The 17,926-nt window shown below is 39.8% G+C and overlaps 1 pseudogene; it reads right to left on the reverse strand.

Annotated features, from left to right (window-relative positions):
• Nucleotides 1-460: 460 nt before the first annotated feature.
• LOC124901557 (uncharacterized) lies at nucleotides 461-628 on the reverse strand (annotated as a pseudogene).
• Nucleotides 629-17,926: the final 17,298 nt, after the last annotated feature.

Consider the following 17,926-nt stretch of genomic DNA (forward strand, 5'->3'; position numbering starts at 1 on the left):
TCTTAGCTTATAGTTTTTGTTCACTCCAGTTCTTCTTTCTGATATGCCTTCCTCATTGTTCTCCATTTTTCTTAATTTTTATTGTTTCCCAGGTTCCTTCTTGAGTTCTTCCTTGGTAAAGTCTTCTTTGGCCATCTCTACTCACAGGCATCACTCTCTTTTCTGAGCTCCTGTAGAAGAAAGTCTGGTAGACTTACTAGGAGATGATCAAAGTATAGGATGGCCACTTAAGTTATTGTCCATGTTGGACACTTTTGAATGGAAAAATGAGTTTGTTAATTATTTTGCAGTAATAGGCATAAACTGAAAATCTTCAAGGCAAACCAGGATGCACAGTCACTTTAATTAATGAGACTCCTGGCTTGTAATTTGTTAACTGTGTGTCCTGGGTTGATAGGGTTAATTTTTCAAGTCCTCCATTTTCTCATCTGTGAGCATAATATGCTTCATTGAATGTATCAAACAGTATTTGAGTATTTGTGAAATACTTATATTAGTGATAAGGCACTATGTAACTATAAGGAATTATCACCAACTACTTGACACCATTATATATAATCTTATATGGTATTTAAACTGATAAGAACAGATACTACACTTGATCTTAGCTAACAGGCCAGGAAGCTTATATGGTATTAAAACTTTAGTGTTTTGATCTAAATGTGTTTGTCCATTTATTATTTACTTTAATATGTATTAATTTTTTATGTGTTTTCAAAAAATTTATTAAATTTATAAAGTACAAGTGCAATTTCTTTGCATACATAGATCACATAATGGTCAGGTCAGGGCTTTTTGGGTATCCATTATCTGAATAATATACATTGTATCCATTAAGTAATTTCTCATCCTCTGCCTCACTCCCACCTCACCCTTCTGAGTCTCCATTTTCTATCATTCCACTCTCTACATCCATGTGTACACATTTTTTAGCAGCCATTTATGAGTGAGAACACATGATATTGTGTCTGGCTAGTTTTACTTAAGATAATGACCTCCAATTCCATCCGTGTTGCTGCAAATGACATGATTTCATTCTTTTTTATTACCAAATAGTATTTCATTATGTATATATACACCACATTTTCTTTATCCATTTGTTGATGGACACTTAGGTTGATTACATATCTTTGTTATTGTGAATAGTGCTGTGATAAACATACAGGTGCAGGTATCTTATTGATAAATTGATTTCTTTTCCTTTGGGTAGATATTCAGTAGTGAGATTCCTGAATTGAATGGTAATTCTATTTTTAATTCTTGCAAAATATCCATACTGTTTTCCATAGAGATTATACTAATCTACATATTTCCATAAAGATTGTAGTAATCTACACTCCTACCAACAGTGTACAAGAATTTCCTTTTCTCTGCACCCTTGTCAATGTCTGTTATTTTCTATCTTTTTAGTAATAGCCATTCTGATGCAAATCAAAGCAACAATGAGATACCATCTTACATCAGTCAGAATGGCTATTATTAAAAAGTCAAAAAATAACAGATGCTAGCAATGTTTCAGAGAAAAGGGAATTTTCATACACTGTTGGTGGGAATGTAAATTAGTTCAGCCACTGTGGAAAGCAGTGTGATGATTCCTAAAAGAGTTAAAGCAGAACTGTCATTTGACTCTGCAATTCCATTACTGGGTATATATCCAGAGGAATATAAACAATTCTACCACAAAGACACATGCACATGACTGTTCATTGCAGCACTATTCACAATAGCAAATACATGGAATCAACCTAAATGCCCATCAATGACAGATTTGATGAAGAAAATGTAGTATATACACACCATGGAATACTATGCAGCCATAAAAAAGAAAGAATTTTTTTTGTGTGGGAACATGGTTGGAGCTGGAGGCTATTATCCTTAGCAAACTAAGTCAGGATCAGAAAACCAAATACCACATGTTCTCACTTATAAGTGGGAGCTAGATAATAACCCATGAACACAAAGAAGGAAACAACAGATACTGTGGTTTACTTGAGGGTAGAGGGTGGGAGAAGGGAGAGGAGCAGAAAATATGACTATTGGGTACTGGGCTTAATACTCAGGTGCTAAAATAGTCTGTATAACAAACCACCATGACGTGAGTTTACCTGTGCAACAAAGCTTCACATGTATTGCAAACCTAAAATAAAAGTTAAAAAAGTAATAGCCATTCTCACTGGGCTAAGATGATAATACACTGTGGTTTTGGTTTGCATTTCTCTGATAATTAGTGATGCTGGGAATTTTTTCATACACCTTCTGACCATTTGTATGTCTTCTTTTGAAAAATGTCTATTCATGTCTTTTGCCCACTTTTTAATGGGATTAATTGGTGTTTTTTTGGTGGTTGTTTTTGTAGTTGTTTGAGAGCTTTGTAAATTATGTGTATCAGTTTCTTGTTGGATGCATAGTTTGCAAATATTTTCTTCTATTTTGCATGTTGTCTGCTCCCTCTGTTGATTATATCTTTTGCTGTGCAGAAGTTTTTAGTTTAATTATGTTCCATTTGTTTCTTTTGTTTTTATTGTCTGTGCTTTTAAGGTTTTAGTCATAAATTCTTTGCCTAGGCTAATGTCCAGAAGAGCTTTGCCTAGGTTTTCTTCTTGTACTTTTATAGCTTTCATTATTATATTTAAGACTTTAATTCACCTTGAGTTAATTTTTGTAAATAATGACAGATACAGGTCTAATTTCATTTTTCTGCATATGGCAATACCATTTTGATAGCACTATTTATTAAAATTAAAAAGGAGATCTTTTCATAATGTATGTTCTTGTCAGCTTTGTCAATGGTCAGTTGGCTATAAATATGTGGTTTTGTTTCTGGGTTCTTCATTCTGTTGCAGTGATCTATGTGTCTATTTTTATACCAGCATCATGTTGTTTTGGTTACTATGGCCTTATGATATAATTTGAAGTGAGGTATTGTGATGCCCCCAGCTTTGTTCTTGCTTAGGATTGCTTGGGTTATTTGGGTTCATTTTGTGTTCCATATACATTTTAAGATGGTTTTTTCTGATTATATGACAAATGAGGTTGATGTTCTGATAGGAACTGCATTTAATCTGTAGATTGCTTTGGGCAGGTGAGCGATGCAGAAGACAGGTGATTTATGTATTTCCAACTGAGGTACCAGGTTCATATCACTGGGGAGTGCTGGACAGTGGGTGCAGGACACTGGGTGCAGCGCACCATGCATGAGCCACAGCAGGGTGAGGCATCGCCTCACCCAGGAAGTGCAAGGGGTCAGGGAATTCCCTTTCCTAGTCAAAGAAAGGGGTGACAGACGGCACTTGGAAAATTGGGGCACTCCCACACTAATACTGTGCTCTTCCAATGGGCTTAACAAACGGCACACCAGGAGATTATATCCTGCACCTGGCTCGGAGAGCCCTATGCCAACAGAGGCTCGCTCATTGCTAGCACAGCAGTCTGAAATCAAACTGCAAGGCAGCAGTGAGGCTGGGGGAGGGGCACCCACCATTGCTGAGGCTTGAGTAGGTAAACAAAGCAGCCTGGAAGCTCGAACTCAGTGGAGCCCACCACAGCTCAAGGAGGCCTGCCTGCCTCTGTAGGCTCCACCTCTGGGGGCAGGGCACAGACAAACAAAAGGCAGCAGTAACCTCTGCAGACTTAAATGTCTGTCTCTGACAGCTTTGAAGAGAGTAGCGGTTCTCCCAGCACACAGCTTGAGATCTGAGAATGGGCAGACTGCCTCCTCAAGTGGGTCCCTGACCCCCGAGTAGCCTAACTGGGAGACACTGCCCAGTAGGGGCAGACTGACACTTCACACGACTGGGTACTCCTCTGACACAAAACTTCCAGAGGAATGATCAGGCAGCAGCATTTGCGGTTCACCAATATCTGCTGTACTGCAGCCACCGCTGCTGATACTGAGGCAAATAGGGTCTGGAGTGGACTTCCAGCAAACTCCAACAGACCTGCAGCTGAAGGTCCTGACCGTTAGAAGGAAATCTAAGAAACAGAAAGGACATCCACACCAACAACCCATCTGTACGTCACCATCTTCAAAGACCAAAGGTAGAGAAAACCACAAAGATGGGGAAAAAACAGAGCAGAAAAACCAGAAACTCTAAAAATCAGAGTGCCTCTCCTCCTGCAAAGGAACGCAGCTCCTCAGCAGCAATGGAACAAAGCTGGATGGAGAATGACTTTGAGGAGTTGAGAGAAGAAGGTTTCAGAAGACCAAACTACTCTGAGCTAAAGGAGGAAGTTCAAACCAATGACAAAGAAGTTAAAAACCTTGAAAAAAAATTAGACGAATGGCTAACTAGAATAACCGATGCAGAGAAGTCCTTAAAGAACCTCATGGAGCTGAAAACCACAGCATGAGAACTACATGACAAATGCAGAAGGCTCAATAGCTGATGCGATAAACTGGAAGAAAGGGTATCAGTGATGGAAGATGAAAGGAATGAAATGAAGTGAGAAGAGAAGTTTAGAGCAAAAAAATATAAAGAAACCAACAAAGCCTCCAAGAAATATGGGACTATGTGAAAAGACCAAATCCACGTCTGATTGGTGTACCTGAAAGTGACAGGGAGAATGGAAACAAGTAGGAAAACAGTCTGCAGGATATTATCTAGGAGAACTTCCCCAATCTAGCAAGGCAGGCCAACATTCAAATTCAGGAAATACAGAGAACGCCACAAAGATAATCCTCGAGAAGAGCAACTCCAAAAACACATAATTGTCAGATTCACCAAAGTTGAAATGAAGGAAAAAATGTTAAGGGCATCCAGAGAGAAGGGTCGGGTTACCCACAAGGGGAAGCCCATCAGATTAACAGCTGATCTCTCAGAAGAAACTCTACTAGCCAGAAGAGAGTGAAGGCCAATATTCAACATTCTTAAAGAAAAGAATTTTCAACCCAGAATTTCATATACAGCCAAACTAAGCTTCATAAGTGAAGGAGAAATAAAATAATTTGCAGACAAGCAAATGCTGACAGATTTTGGCACAACCAAGCCTGCCCTAAAAGAGCTCCTGAAGGAAGCACTAAACATGGAAAGAAACAACCGGTACCAGCCACTACAAAAACATACCAAATTGTAAAGACCATCAAGCCTAGGAATAAACTGCATCAACTAATGAGCAAAATAACCAGCTAACCTCATAGTGACAGGATCAATTTCACACATAACAATATTAACCTTAAGTGTAATTGGGCTAAATCCTCCAGTTAAAAGACCCAGAATGGCAAATTGGATAAAGAGTCAAGACCCATCAGTGTGCTGTATTCAGGAAACCCATCTCACATGCAGAGACACACATAGGCTCAAAATAAAGGGATGGAGGCAGATCTACCAAGCAAATGGAAAACAAAAAAAGGCAGGAGTTGCAATCCTACTCTCGGATAAAACAGACTTTAAACCAACAAACATCAAAAGAGACAACACCATTACATAATGGTAAAGGGATCAGTACAACAAGAAGAGCTAACTATCCTAAATATATATGCACCCAATACAGGAGCACCCAGATTCACAAAACAAGTCTTTAGTGACCTACAAAGAGACTTAGACTCCCATACAATAATAATGGAAGACTTTAACACCCCACTGTCAACATTAGACAGATCACCGAGACAGAAAGTTAACAAGGATATCCAGGAATTGAACTCAGCTCTGCACCAAGCAGACCTAATAGACATCTACAGAACTCTCCACCCCAAATCAACAGAATATACATTCTTTTCAGCACCATATCACACCTATTCCAAAATTGACCACACAGTTGGAAGTAAAGCACTCCTCAGCAAATGTAAAGAACAGAAATTATAACAAACTGTCTCTCAGACCACAGTGCAATCAAACTAGAATTCAGGATTAAGAAACTCATTCAAAACTGCTCAACTACATGGAAACTAAACAACCTGCTCCTGAGTGACTACTGGGTACATAACGAAAAGAAGGCAGAAATAAGGATGTTCTTCGAAACCAACGAGAACAAAGACACAGCATACCAGAATCTCTGGGACACATTCAATGCAGTATGTAGAGGGAAATTTATAGCACTAAATGCCCACTAGAGAAAGCAGGAAAGATCTAAAATGGACATGCTAACATCACAGTTAAAAGAACTAGAGAAGCAAGAGCAAACACATTCAAAAGCTAGCAGAAGGCAAGAAATAACTAAGATCAGAGCAGAACTGAAGGAAATAGAGATGAAAAAACCCTTCAAAAAAATCAATGAATCCATGAGCTGGTTTCTTGAAAAGAGCAACAAAATTGATAGACTGCTAGCAAGACTAATAAAGAAGAAAAGAGAGAAGAATCAAATAGATGCAATAAAAAATGACAAAGGGGATATCACCATCGATCCCATGGAAATACAAACTACCATCAGAGAATACTATAAACACCTCTACACAAATAAACTAGAAAATCTAGAAGAAATGGATAAATTCCTCGACACATACACCCTCCCAAGACTAATCCAGCAAGAAGTTGAATCTCTGAATAAACGAATTACAGGCTCTGAAATTGAGGCAATAATTAATAGCTTACCAACCAAAAAAAGTCCAGGACCTGATGGATTCACAGCTGAATTCTACCAGAGGTACAAGGAGGAGCTGGTACCACTCCTTCTGAAACTATTCCAATCAATAGAAAAAGAGGGAATCCTCCCCAACTCATTTTATAAGGCCAGCATCATCCTGATACCAAAGCCTGGCAGAGACACAACAACAACAAAAAAGAATTTTAGACCAATATCCTTGATGAACATTGATGCAAAAATCCTCAATAAAATACCGGCAAACCAAATCCAGCAGCACATCAAAAAGCTTATCCACCGTGATCAAGTGGGCTTCATCCCTGGGATGCAAGGCTGGTTCAACATATGAAAATCAATAAACATAATCCAGCATATAAACAGAACCAAAGACAAAAACCGCATGATTATCTCAATAGATGCAGAAAAGTCCTTTGACAAAATTCAGAAACCTTCATGCTAAAAACTCTCAATAAATTAGGTATTGATGGGACGTATCTGAAAATAATAAGAGCTATCTATGACAAACCCACAGCCAATATCATACTGAATGGGCAAAAACTGGAAGCATTCCCTTTGAAGACTGGCACAAGACAGGGATGTCCTCTCTCACCACTCCTATTCAACATAGTGTTGGAAGTTCTGACCAGGGCAATCAGGCAGGAGAAGGAAATAAAGGGCATTCAATTAGGAAAAGAGGAAGGCAAATTGTCCCTGTTTGCAGATGACATGATTGCGTATCTAGAAAACCCCATTGTCTCAGCCCAAAATCTCCTTAAGCTGATAAGCAACTTCAGCAAAGTCTCAGGATACAAAATCAATGTGCAAAAATCACAAGCATTCTTATACACCAATAACATACAAACAGCCAAATCATGAGTGAACTCCCATTCCCAATTGCTTCAAAGAGAATAAAATACCTAGGAATCCAACTTACCAGAGATGTGAAGGACCTCTTCAAGAACTAAAAACCACTGCTCAATGAAATAAAAGAGGATACAAACAAATGGAAGAACATTCCATGCTCATGGGTAGGAAGAATCAATATTGTGAAAATGGCCATACTGCCCAAGGTAATTTATAGAGTCAATGCCATCCACATCAAGCTACCAATGACTTTCTTCACAGAATTGGAAAAAACTACTTTAAAGTTCATGTGGAACCAAAAAGAGCCTGCATTGCCAAGTCAATCCTAAGCCAAAAGAAAAAAGCTGGAGGCACCACACTACCTGACTTCAAACTATACTACAAGGCTGCAGTAACCAAAACAGCATGGTACTTGTACCAAAAGAGAGCTATAGACCAATGGAACAGAACAGAGACCTCAGAAATAATGCTGCATATCTAAAACTATCTGATCTTTGACAAACCTGACAAAAACAAGCAATTGGGAAAGGATTCCCTATTTAATAAATGCTGCTGGGAAAACTGACTAGCCATATGTAGAAAGCTGAAACTGGATCCCTTCCTTACAGCTTATACAAAAACTAATTCGAGATGGATTAAAGACTTACATGTTACACCTAAAACCATAAAAACCCTAGAAGAAAACCTATGCAATACCATTCAGGACATAGGCATGGGCAAGGACTTCATGTCTAAAACACCAAAAGCAATGGCAACAAAAGCCAAAATTGACAAATGGGATCTCATTAAACTAAAGAGCTTCTGCACAGCAAAGGAAACTACCATCAGAGTGGACAGGGAACCTATAGAATGGGAGAAAATTTTTGCCACATACTCATCTGACAAAGGGCTAGTATCCAGAATCTACAATGAACTCCAACAAATTTACAAGAAAAAAACAAACAACCCCATCAAAAAGTGGGCGAAGGATATGAACAAACACTTCTCAAAAGAAGACATTTATGCAGCCGAAAAACACATGAAAAAATGCTCATCATCACTGGCCATCAGAGAAATGCAAATCAAAACCACAATGAGATACCATCTCACACCAGTTAGAATGGTGATCATTAAAAAGTCAGGAAACAATAGGTGCTGGAGAGAATGTGGAGAAATAGGAACACTTTTGCACTGTTGATTGGATTGTAAACTAGTTCAAGCATTGTGGAAGTCAGTGTGGAAATTCCTCACAGATCTAGAACTAGAAATACCATTTGACCCAGTCATCCCATTACTGGGTATATACCCAAAGGATTATAAATCATGCTGCTGTAAAGACACATGCACAGGTATGTTTATTGTGGCACTATTCACAATAGCAAAGACTTGGAACCAACCCAAATGTCCACCAGTGATAGACTGGATTAAGAAAATGTGGCAGATATACACCATGGAATACTATGCAGCCATAAAAAATGATGAGTTCATGTCCTTTGTAGGGACATGGATGAAGCTGGAAACCATCATTCTCAGCAAACTATCGCAAGGACAAAAACCAAACACCACATGTTCTCACTCATAAGTGGAAATTGAACAATGAGAACACACGGACACTGGAAGGGGAACATCACACACCGGGGACTGTTGTGGGTTGGGAGGAGCAGGGAGGGATAGCATTAGGAGAGATACCTAATGGTAAATGATGAGTTAATGGGTGCAGCACACCAACATGGCACATGTATACATATGTAACCAACCTGCACATTATGCACATGTACCCTAAAACTTAAAGCATAACAGTAATAATAATAAAAAAGGATTGCTTTGGGAAGTATTGTCATTTTAATAATATTAATTCTTTCAATTAATTAGCATGGGATTTTTTCTCATTTCTTTGTGTCGTCTACAATTTATTTCATCAGTATTTTGTAGTTTTCCTTGTAGAGATCTTTTGCCTCTTTGATTAAATGTATTCCTAGGTATTTTTTTTGTTATGTAAATGGGATTGCCTTCTTAATTTCATTATTGTCTAGATTATTATTGGTGCATAAAAGCACTACTATTTTTGTACATCAATTTTTTATCCTGAAACTTTACTGAATTCATTCATCAAGTCCAAAATATTTTTGGTGGAGTCCTTAGCTTTTTGTAGCTATAAGATTGTATCATCAGCGAACAGTGATAATTTGACCTCCTAATTTCCAATTTGGGTGCCTTTTATTTCTTTCTTTTGCCTAATTGCTTATCTAAGTTCTTCTACTACTATGTTGAATAAGCGTGGGTGTCCTTGTCTTCTTCTGGTTCTTAGAGAAAATGCCTTCAGCTTTCTCCCTTTCAGTATGATGCTAACTGAGGTTTTGTGATTTTATAGCCTTTAATATCTTGAGGTATGTTCATTCTATTCCTAGTTTGTTGAGGGTATTTATTATAAATGTACGTTGAGTTTTATCATAAGCTTTTTATGCATCTATTGAAATGATCATATTGAGATGTATTACATTTGTTTATTTGCATATGCATAACTATCCTTGCATCCATAATATAAAACCCACTTGATTGTAGTGTATTATCTTCTTGATGTGCTATTGAATTTAGTTTGCTAGTATTTTGTTGAATATTTATGCTTATATATTCATCAGGGATATTGGTCTGGATTTTTTTTTGTTGTGTCCTTGTCTGGTTTTGGCATAGGTATCAATTGTAATGTCTCCTTTTTCATCTCTAGTTTTACTTGGGTCTTCTCTCCTCTTTTCTTGGGTAGTCTTTGCTTATTCTTTCTTCTTTTTTATTTTTGTCTCACTTGATTTTTTTCGAAAGATCTGTTTTTTTTTTTTTTTGGAGTCAATGTAAATTCTCATCAATGGTAGACTAGATAAAGAAAATGTGGTACATATATACCACTGAATACTCTGCAGTTACAAAAAGGAATAAAATCATGTTCTTTGCAGCAACATGGATAAAGCTGGAGACCATTATCCTAAGCAAACTAACACAGGAACGGAAAACAAAATACTACATGTTCTCACTTATAAGTGGGATAAATATTGAGTACACATGGGCATGAAGAAGGGAACAAAAGACACTGGGGCCTACTTGAGGGTGAAGAGTCGGAGGAGAGTGAAGATAAAAAAAAACTACCTATTGAGTACTATATCTCTTACCTGGTTGACAAAATAATCTGTACACCAAGCACCTATGACATGTGATTTACTTATATGACAAATCTGTACATGTATCCCTAAATCTAAAATAAAAGTTTTTTTAAAAAGACCTATGTTTAACTTCTGAAAAAGTTTTTTTCTGCTTGATTTAGCCTATTATCATTAAAGCTTTTAAATAATGTATTTGGTATTTCCTTCAGTGAGTTTTTCAGTTCCACTGTTTTTGTTTGGTTCTTTAAAAAAAAAAATCTATCTCCTTGGTAAATTTCTTGTTCACTTCCTAGACTGATTTTTTGAGTTCTTTGTTTTTCAGGTTTGTCTTGCATCTCAATGAGCTTCTTTAAAATCAGTATTTTGAATTATTAACAAAAAAAGAAAAAAAGAAAAAGATTTTGAATTCTTTATGTGGCATACTGAGGATTTCTTTTGGGTTAGGATATGGTGTGGAAGAATTATTGTGTTTCTTTGAAGATGTTATATTACCTTGCTTTTGCATGTTTCCTGTTTTTTTTAACATTGATTTTTGTGCATTAGGAGAAAAAGTAGCTTCTTCTTATTTTTGAATTTACTTTTTTTGGGAAGGAGACTTTTTTTCTTAAACTTGTGACTATAGGGTTTGTTTGGTGGAAGTCTTTGATTTTTCTTCTGAGTGCATACAGTGGTGAAGAGTCTGTATGATTTCTTAGGCTATAAATAGTGTTAGTCCAATCTGTGTTTTCCTTTATGTGTTACAGTATATTTGTTTGTGGGGCTGTGGTAAAATTATCAGGGACTGGAATGCTAGATGTGTCCATCTTCAGGTTTTAGTGGTAGGAGTGGTGGGTTAATGTGTTTATCCTTACTACCTGGAGCAGCATATGCTGGCATGTGTGTTTGCAATTCAAGCAGGCTGTGGTTGGGCCTCTGGATGACTTTCTCTGATGTCAGTTGTTAGCAGTATATGGGATGGGACAGCAGAAAATCAACCATAGGCTTCTGAGCAGCCTGTTTATGGGCAATGGCAGTAGCAGTGATTGTGATGTGTTCCTCAAAGTCTTGAGTGCTGTGCTCTTGTGTTAGCAGCAGTGATTGCAATGGACTGTATGAGTTGATCTCCAGACCAGTAGATGGCACTTTTAGGCAAGATCCAGCTGTGGTGGTAGTGGTATAATGTTTATGCTCATTTTTGTTCCTCAGGAAAAGTGCTTGGGCATCCCAGGTGGCAAATTGTGTTGTGGAACATCTAGAAGCCTGGATTCCGTGCTCTGTCTTGTGAAGGGCATGGCAAGGCTGGACAATGAAGTGGGCAATGTTGTGCTCAGGCCCTTCAGTAGTGAGTGTATACATCAGCCTTGATGAAATGCTTGGGTGAGGGACCATAGCTGCTGTACTGAGGTCTTAGCATGGGGAGGGGGAGTGTGGTCCCAGCAGCCAAAGCTTTGATTGGCAGAAGTGGGACTTGTGTCACCCTCATGCCTTAGTCCTGGTGAATTTCCCTTCCCCATATTGGTTGTCTCAGCCAACACAGCTATTCAGTTAATCCCAGGAGTTTGCACCATAGGAGCTGCTGCCCAGCCCAACACCAAGCCTATGCAGAGACTGTCCTCCTGCATAGGTCCCAGGGGGCGAGTTGCCTGGTTCCAGCACCAGTAGCTGGAGCCCACCCCATGTTCCCTTTTCAGACCTTGTTGTGGGATCCCAACTCCCACTGAAGCCACAGTTCTGCAAATGCTTCCAGATTTTTTTTTAACAGCTAACAGTGATACCACTGGCTCCCAGGATCCCAGGACCATGTGCAATTTGTGAAGAGCTAGGGTCAGGAATGACATCTTACAGTAGCTGGTTAGGTCTCAAAAAGGCATGTGACACTTCCTGTGCAGTTCCCTCTGGTAATCTCCCTTCTGCTTCCTAACTTAGATTCAGGGACTGGGTGAGTCAAGGTACTCTCCTGTGGCCTGGATTCATGGAAAAGTAGATTGCAGAAAGCACTTACCCTGTCCTGTATTGGCATTCACTTCTGGTTCCTAGATTTTCCTAGCCATGTGGGCTGTCTGTTTTCCTTCTTTTTCCTAGATTTTAAAGTTTCCTTTCACTTTTCTGTTTAACTCCTATGTTTTATCTTGAATAATATATTCAAAATATGATTGTCTACACATTATTTTGGTTCATCTAAGTGGATGAGGCATGCTGGAAATGCTTCCAGTCAGCCATCTTGGAAACTAAAACATTCCATATATATTACTTGATATCTGTTATGCATCTGACCCTGTGTTCAGGCCCAGATTTTAAGTTGAAGAGAAGTTGAGTCACTATTTCTTGTCACAAATTATGGTAGTGATAAACTTTCTATGCTGTGGTAAAAGTGACATTCCCTATGTATAACTTTATTTTTGATAATGGAATAAACAGTGTTGGACTCAAGCAGGAATATTCATTATTCAATCAAGGTAGTTCTTTAAGAAATAGTTGTATTATTGTTCTTTCTTAAAAATCAGTCATTTTATCTGACAAGTTACTTCTTTATTTATGTCAAAAGTAGAAGACGAGATGGGGGCTTCAAGATGGCTTACTAGAGATGCCTGGCACTTGCCTCCTCCACAAAGAGAAATTAAGCATGAATAGATAATCACATGTCCAATAGAGCATTGAAGAATACTGGAATTCAGGAGGGAAGGGACAGGGACCCTCTGAGGCATGGAAGGAGAAAAAAGCAAAGCAGCTGGCCTGGCTGAGATTGGCTTGAAGCCAGGAGGGACTCCCCATTGTGGGGAAAGGTAAGCTAGAGATTCCCAACAGTCCACATCCCCACTGTAGGTAGACTCCTGAAATCCTAGCCATGGGAGATACCCTTGGCCCTTACAGGCCCTGAAACTAGTATGGGGAACTGCCTGGAGTCCATGTGATGGCATTGTTCCAGAGAGGGAGTTTGCCCTGGGTCCCACACATCCCCTGAGACACAAGCAGCTACAGCACAGAGCCATTTTAGGAGCCCAGCCCTCACCAGACTGCATTCTCCCGAGTCCCAATAGTTCTGATATTGCCACATCCCTGGAACCATGCTGACCACCCCCAACCCATGTCCACCCAGAGGGCTGAAGTGTCATGACATTGGCTGGACTCAGTGATGCGGCTGGATTCCCAGCACTCTAGCCTATGCAGTATTCTACATCCCAGGAAATGGGTGGCGCAGTGCACCAGAGATGCCAACCCTGGGACTAAGGGAGCAAAGGTGTGTGCTCCTAAGAGTCTGAGTGCTGCCTGCCTGGGCTGTGGACTCTGATAGAAACTAGACTCCCTCCAGCAGAAGGGCCACTGTGCACCTGCATGGTCCTTCAGGGTTCCTGGGGAACAGCCCTCCCAGGAACTGTCCCAGGGCCTACCACAGGCCCGTGTGAGGTGTACTAGCTCTTGCGCACACCACCTGGTGGCCTGAGGAAAGGCTTGTCCCCTCAATGTCACTATTGCTAGTTCCTGAGAATATTTTCCAGGGATGGGGATTCGCCTACCCTGCCTGCTGCAGCTGGTATCCACGTGCACCATTGGGGGTCCTAAGGGCATGTCCACCCCATATACTGCCACTGCCAGTATATACATGTGTCATCCAGAGGCCTGAGGACAGGCCTACCCCACCACCATCACTGCCACTGATATTCAAGTGTGCCATCCAGGGACCTGGGGAGAATCCACTCCACCTGTTGGTGCCAGGGCCTGCACATGCCTTCTGGGGGCCTGAGGATGGTCATGTAACATCTTCTACCACTGGCCGCATGCATTTCCTGAGGGCCTGGGGACTGACCCACCCAGCTTGCCACTGTCACTGCTGCTGGTACCCACCTGCATATGATTCCTGGGGTCCTGGAGATTGGCCTATCCAGTCCACAGCTGCCACTGCTGGTGCTCACATGTGCCACTCAAGGATCCAAGGGTTTGCCTGATGCCCCTACTACTACTATTGATGCTATGAATATCATCCAGGGGCTTTAGGATCCACCTGCTCATTCTGCCCATCACTGCAATGGTCAATACACAAGCAAACTGCCTTGAGGCCCAGGGACTGGCCTGCCTGGATTAACTACCACTAGTTCCCATGTACACTGCACAGGAGGTCCAAGGAATGGCACGACCAGACCATTGTTGCCATCACTGCTGCCCAAGGGCTGGCCTGTCTGGAATCCCTCTCCCTAGCAAAACCTTATTACAGTCTCCACTAACAGCTGCAGCCTAAGCCACTGGAGATCTCATGGACACCACTGAGGCTGATTATAGCCAATGAAATAATACAGAGACTAAACTGCATCCATCCAGAATCAAAGCCAAAGCACTCTATCCACCCAACACTATAATTACATCTATAGGAAAAAGTCTTTCCCTACAAAGGCTATTACATAAAAGTGGAAGAAACAGGACTGGGCATGATGGCTCATGCCTCTAATTTCAGCAGTTTGGGAGGTTGAGACAGGTGGATCACTTGAGTTCAGAAGCTCGAGACCAGCCTGAATGACATGGCAAAGCCCCATCTCTATGAAAAAATATAAAAATTAGCTGGGTGTGATGGCCCATGCCTATAGTCCCAGCTACTTGTGAGGCTCAGGTGGGAGATTTGCTTGAGACTGGGAGGTGGAGGTAGCGCTGAGCTGATATTGTGCCACTGCACTCCAGCCTGGGGCACAGAGTGAGATACTGTCTCAAAAGTAAAACAAAAACAAAAACAAAAAACAAAAAGGAAAGAAACAACTGTCACACAATATGCATAGATATCAATGTAATGACACACAAAAACCATGAAAAAGCAAGGAAAGATCATACCTCCAAAGAATGCAATTATTCCAAAGAAAGAAATCTTAAGGAAAAGGAAATCTATAAAATACCTGAAAAATAATAATGATATTAAAGAAACTCAGTGAGATACAAGAAAACACAGATAAATAATACAAAGCAGAAACAGAATTGATGATCTGAATGAGAAATTCAACAAGAAATAGATATAATAAAAAAGAACAAGACAGAGATCCTGAAAATGAAGAATTCAATGAACAAAATTAAAATAATATATCAAGAGCTTCAGCAGAAAAATTTCTGAACTTTAAGATGTATTCTGAAATAACCCAGTTAGACAAAAAAAAAAAAAAAAACCCATAAAAAAGAATGAAGAAAGCTTACATAACATATAGGATACCATAAAGTGACCACATTTTTGAATTCAGGGCGTTCTGGAAGGCAAGATGGGCAAAGATATAAAAAACACTCTTTAAAAAATAATAGCTGGCTGGTCACAGTGGCTCATGCCTGTAATACCAGCACATTGGGAGACTGAGGCAGGCAGATCACTTGAGGCCAGGAGTTTGAGACCAGCCTGGCCAACATGGTGAAAACCCATCTCTACTAAAAATACAAAAATTAGCCAGGCATGGTGGCGGGCACCTGCAATCCCAGCTAGTTGGGAGGCTGAGGCAGGACAATCGCTTGAACCCAGGAGGTGGAGGTTGCAGTGAGCAGAGAACATGCCACTGCACACCAGCCCAGGCAACAGAGTGAGACTGTCTCAAAAAAAAAAAAAATAGCTGAACACTTCCCAAGTCTTAAAGAGATATAGACATCTAGATACAGCAAGCTGAAAAAACTTCAATTAGTTCAAATCCTAGAAGTCTTCTCTAAGGTACATTGTAGTCAAACTGGCAAAAATCATAGACAAAGAGACAGTTCTAAACATAGCAAAAGAAAAGTGTTCAATCACATATAAGGGAATCTCTATTAGACTAGCAGTGAATTTCTCAGCAGAAACATTTTAGTTCTGTAAGGAATGGTATGATATATTCAAAGTGCTGAAAGAAACTTCCAGCAAAAATACTATGCCCAGAACAGTTATCCTTCATAAAAGAAGGGAAATAAAGTCTTTTCTAGACAAGCAAAAATGAAGAGAATTTGTTACTACTTGACTGGTCTTATAAGGAATTCTTTTTTTTCTTAATTTTATTATTGTTATACTTTAAGTTTTAGGGTACATGTGCACAATGTGCAGGTTTGTTACATATGCATACATGTGCCATGTTGGTGTGCTGCACCCATTAACTCGTCATTTACCATTAGGTATCTCTCCTAATACTATCCCTCCCCACTCCCCCCACCCCACAACTGTCCCTGCTGTGTGATGTTCCCCTTCCTGTGTCCATGTGTTCTCATTGTTCAATTCCTACCTATGAGTGAGAACATGCGGTGTTTGGTTTTTTGTCCTTGCGATAGTTTGCTGAGAATGATGGTTTCCAGCTTCATCCATGTCCCTACAAAGGACATGAACTCATCATTTTTTATGGCTGCATAGTATTCCATGGTGTATATGTGCCACATTTTCTTAATCCAGTCTATCATTGATGGATATTTGGGTTGGTTCCAAGTCTTTGCTATTGTGAATAGTGCCACAATAAACATACATGTGCATGTGTCTTTACAGCAACATGATTTATAATCCTTTGGGTATATACCCAGTAATGGGATGGCTGGGTCAAATGGTATTTCTAGTTCTAGATCCCTGAGGAATCACCAAACTGACTTCCACAATGGTTGAACGAGTTTAGAGTCCAACCAACAGTGTAAAAGTGTTCCTATTTCTCCACATCCTCTCCAGCATCTGTTGTTTCCTGACTTTTTAATGATCACCATTCTAACTGGTGTGAGATGGTATCTCATTGTGGTTTTGATTTGCATTTCTCCGATGGCCAGTGATGATGAGCATTTTTTCATGTGCTTTTTGGCTTCATAAATGTCTTCTTTTGAGAAGTGTCTGTTCATATCCTTTGCCCATTTTTTGATGGGGTTGTTTGTTTTTTTCTTGTAAATTTGTTGGAGTGCATTGTAGATTCTGGATACTAGCCCTTTGTCAGATGAGAACATGCCAAAAATTTTCTCCCATTCTGTACGTTGCCTGTTCACTCTGATGGTAGTTTCTTTTCCTGTGCAGAAGCTCTTTAGTTTAATGAGATCCCATTTGTCAATTTTGGCTTTTGTTGCCATTGTTTTTGGTGTTTTAGACATGAAGTCCTTGCCCATGCCTATGTCCTGAATGGTATTGCCTAGGTTTTCTTCTAGGGTTTTTATGGTTTTAGGTCTAACATGTAAGTCTTTAATCCATCTTGAATTAATTTTTGTATAAGCTGTAAGGAAGGGCTCCAGTTTCAGCTTTCTACATATGGCTAGCCAGTTTTCCCAGCACCATTTATTAAATAGGGAATCCTTTCCCAATTGCTTGTTTTTCTCAGGTTTGTCAAAGATCAGATAGTTGTAGATATGCAGCATTATTTCTGAGGGCTCTGTTCTGTTCCATTGATCTATATCTCTGTTTTGGTACTAGTACCATGCTGTTTTGGTTACTGTAGCCTTGTAGTGTACTTTGAAGTCAGGTAGCGTGATGCCTCCAGCTTTGTTCTTTTGGC

The sequence above is a fragment of the Homo sapiens genome, chromosome 6 (genome assembly GCF_000001405.40).
Source record: "Homo sapiens chromosome 6, GRCh38.p14 Primary Assembly".
NCBI lineage: Eukaryota > Metazoa > Chordata > Mammalia > Primates > Hominidae > Homo > Homo sapiens.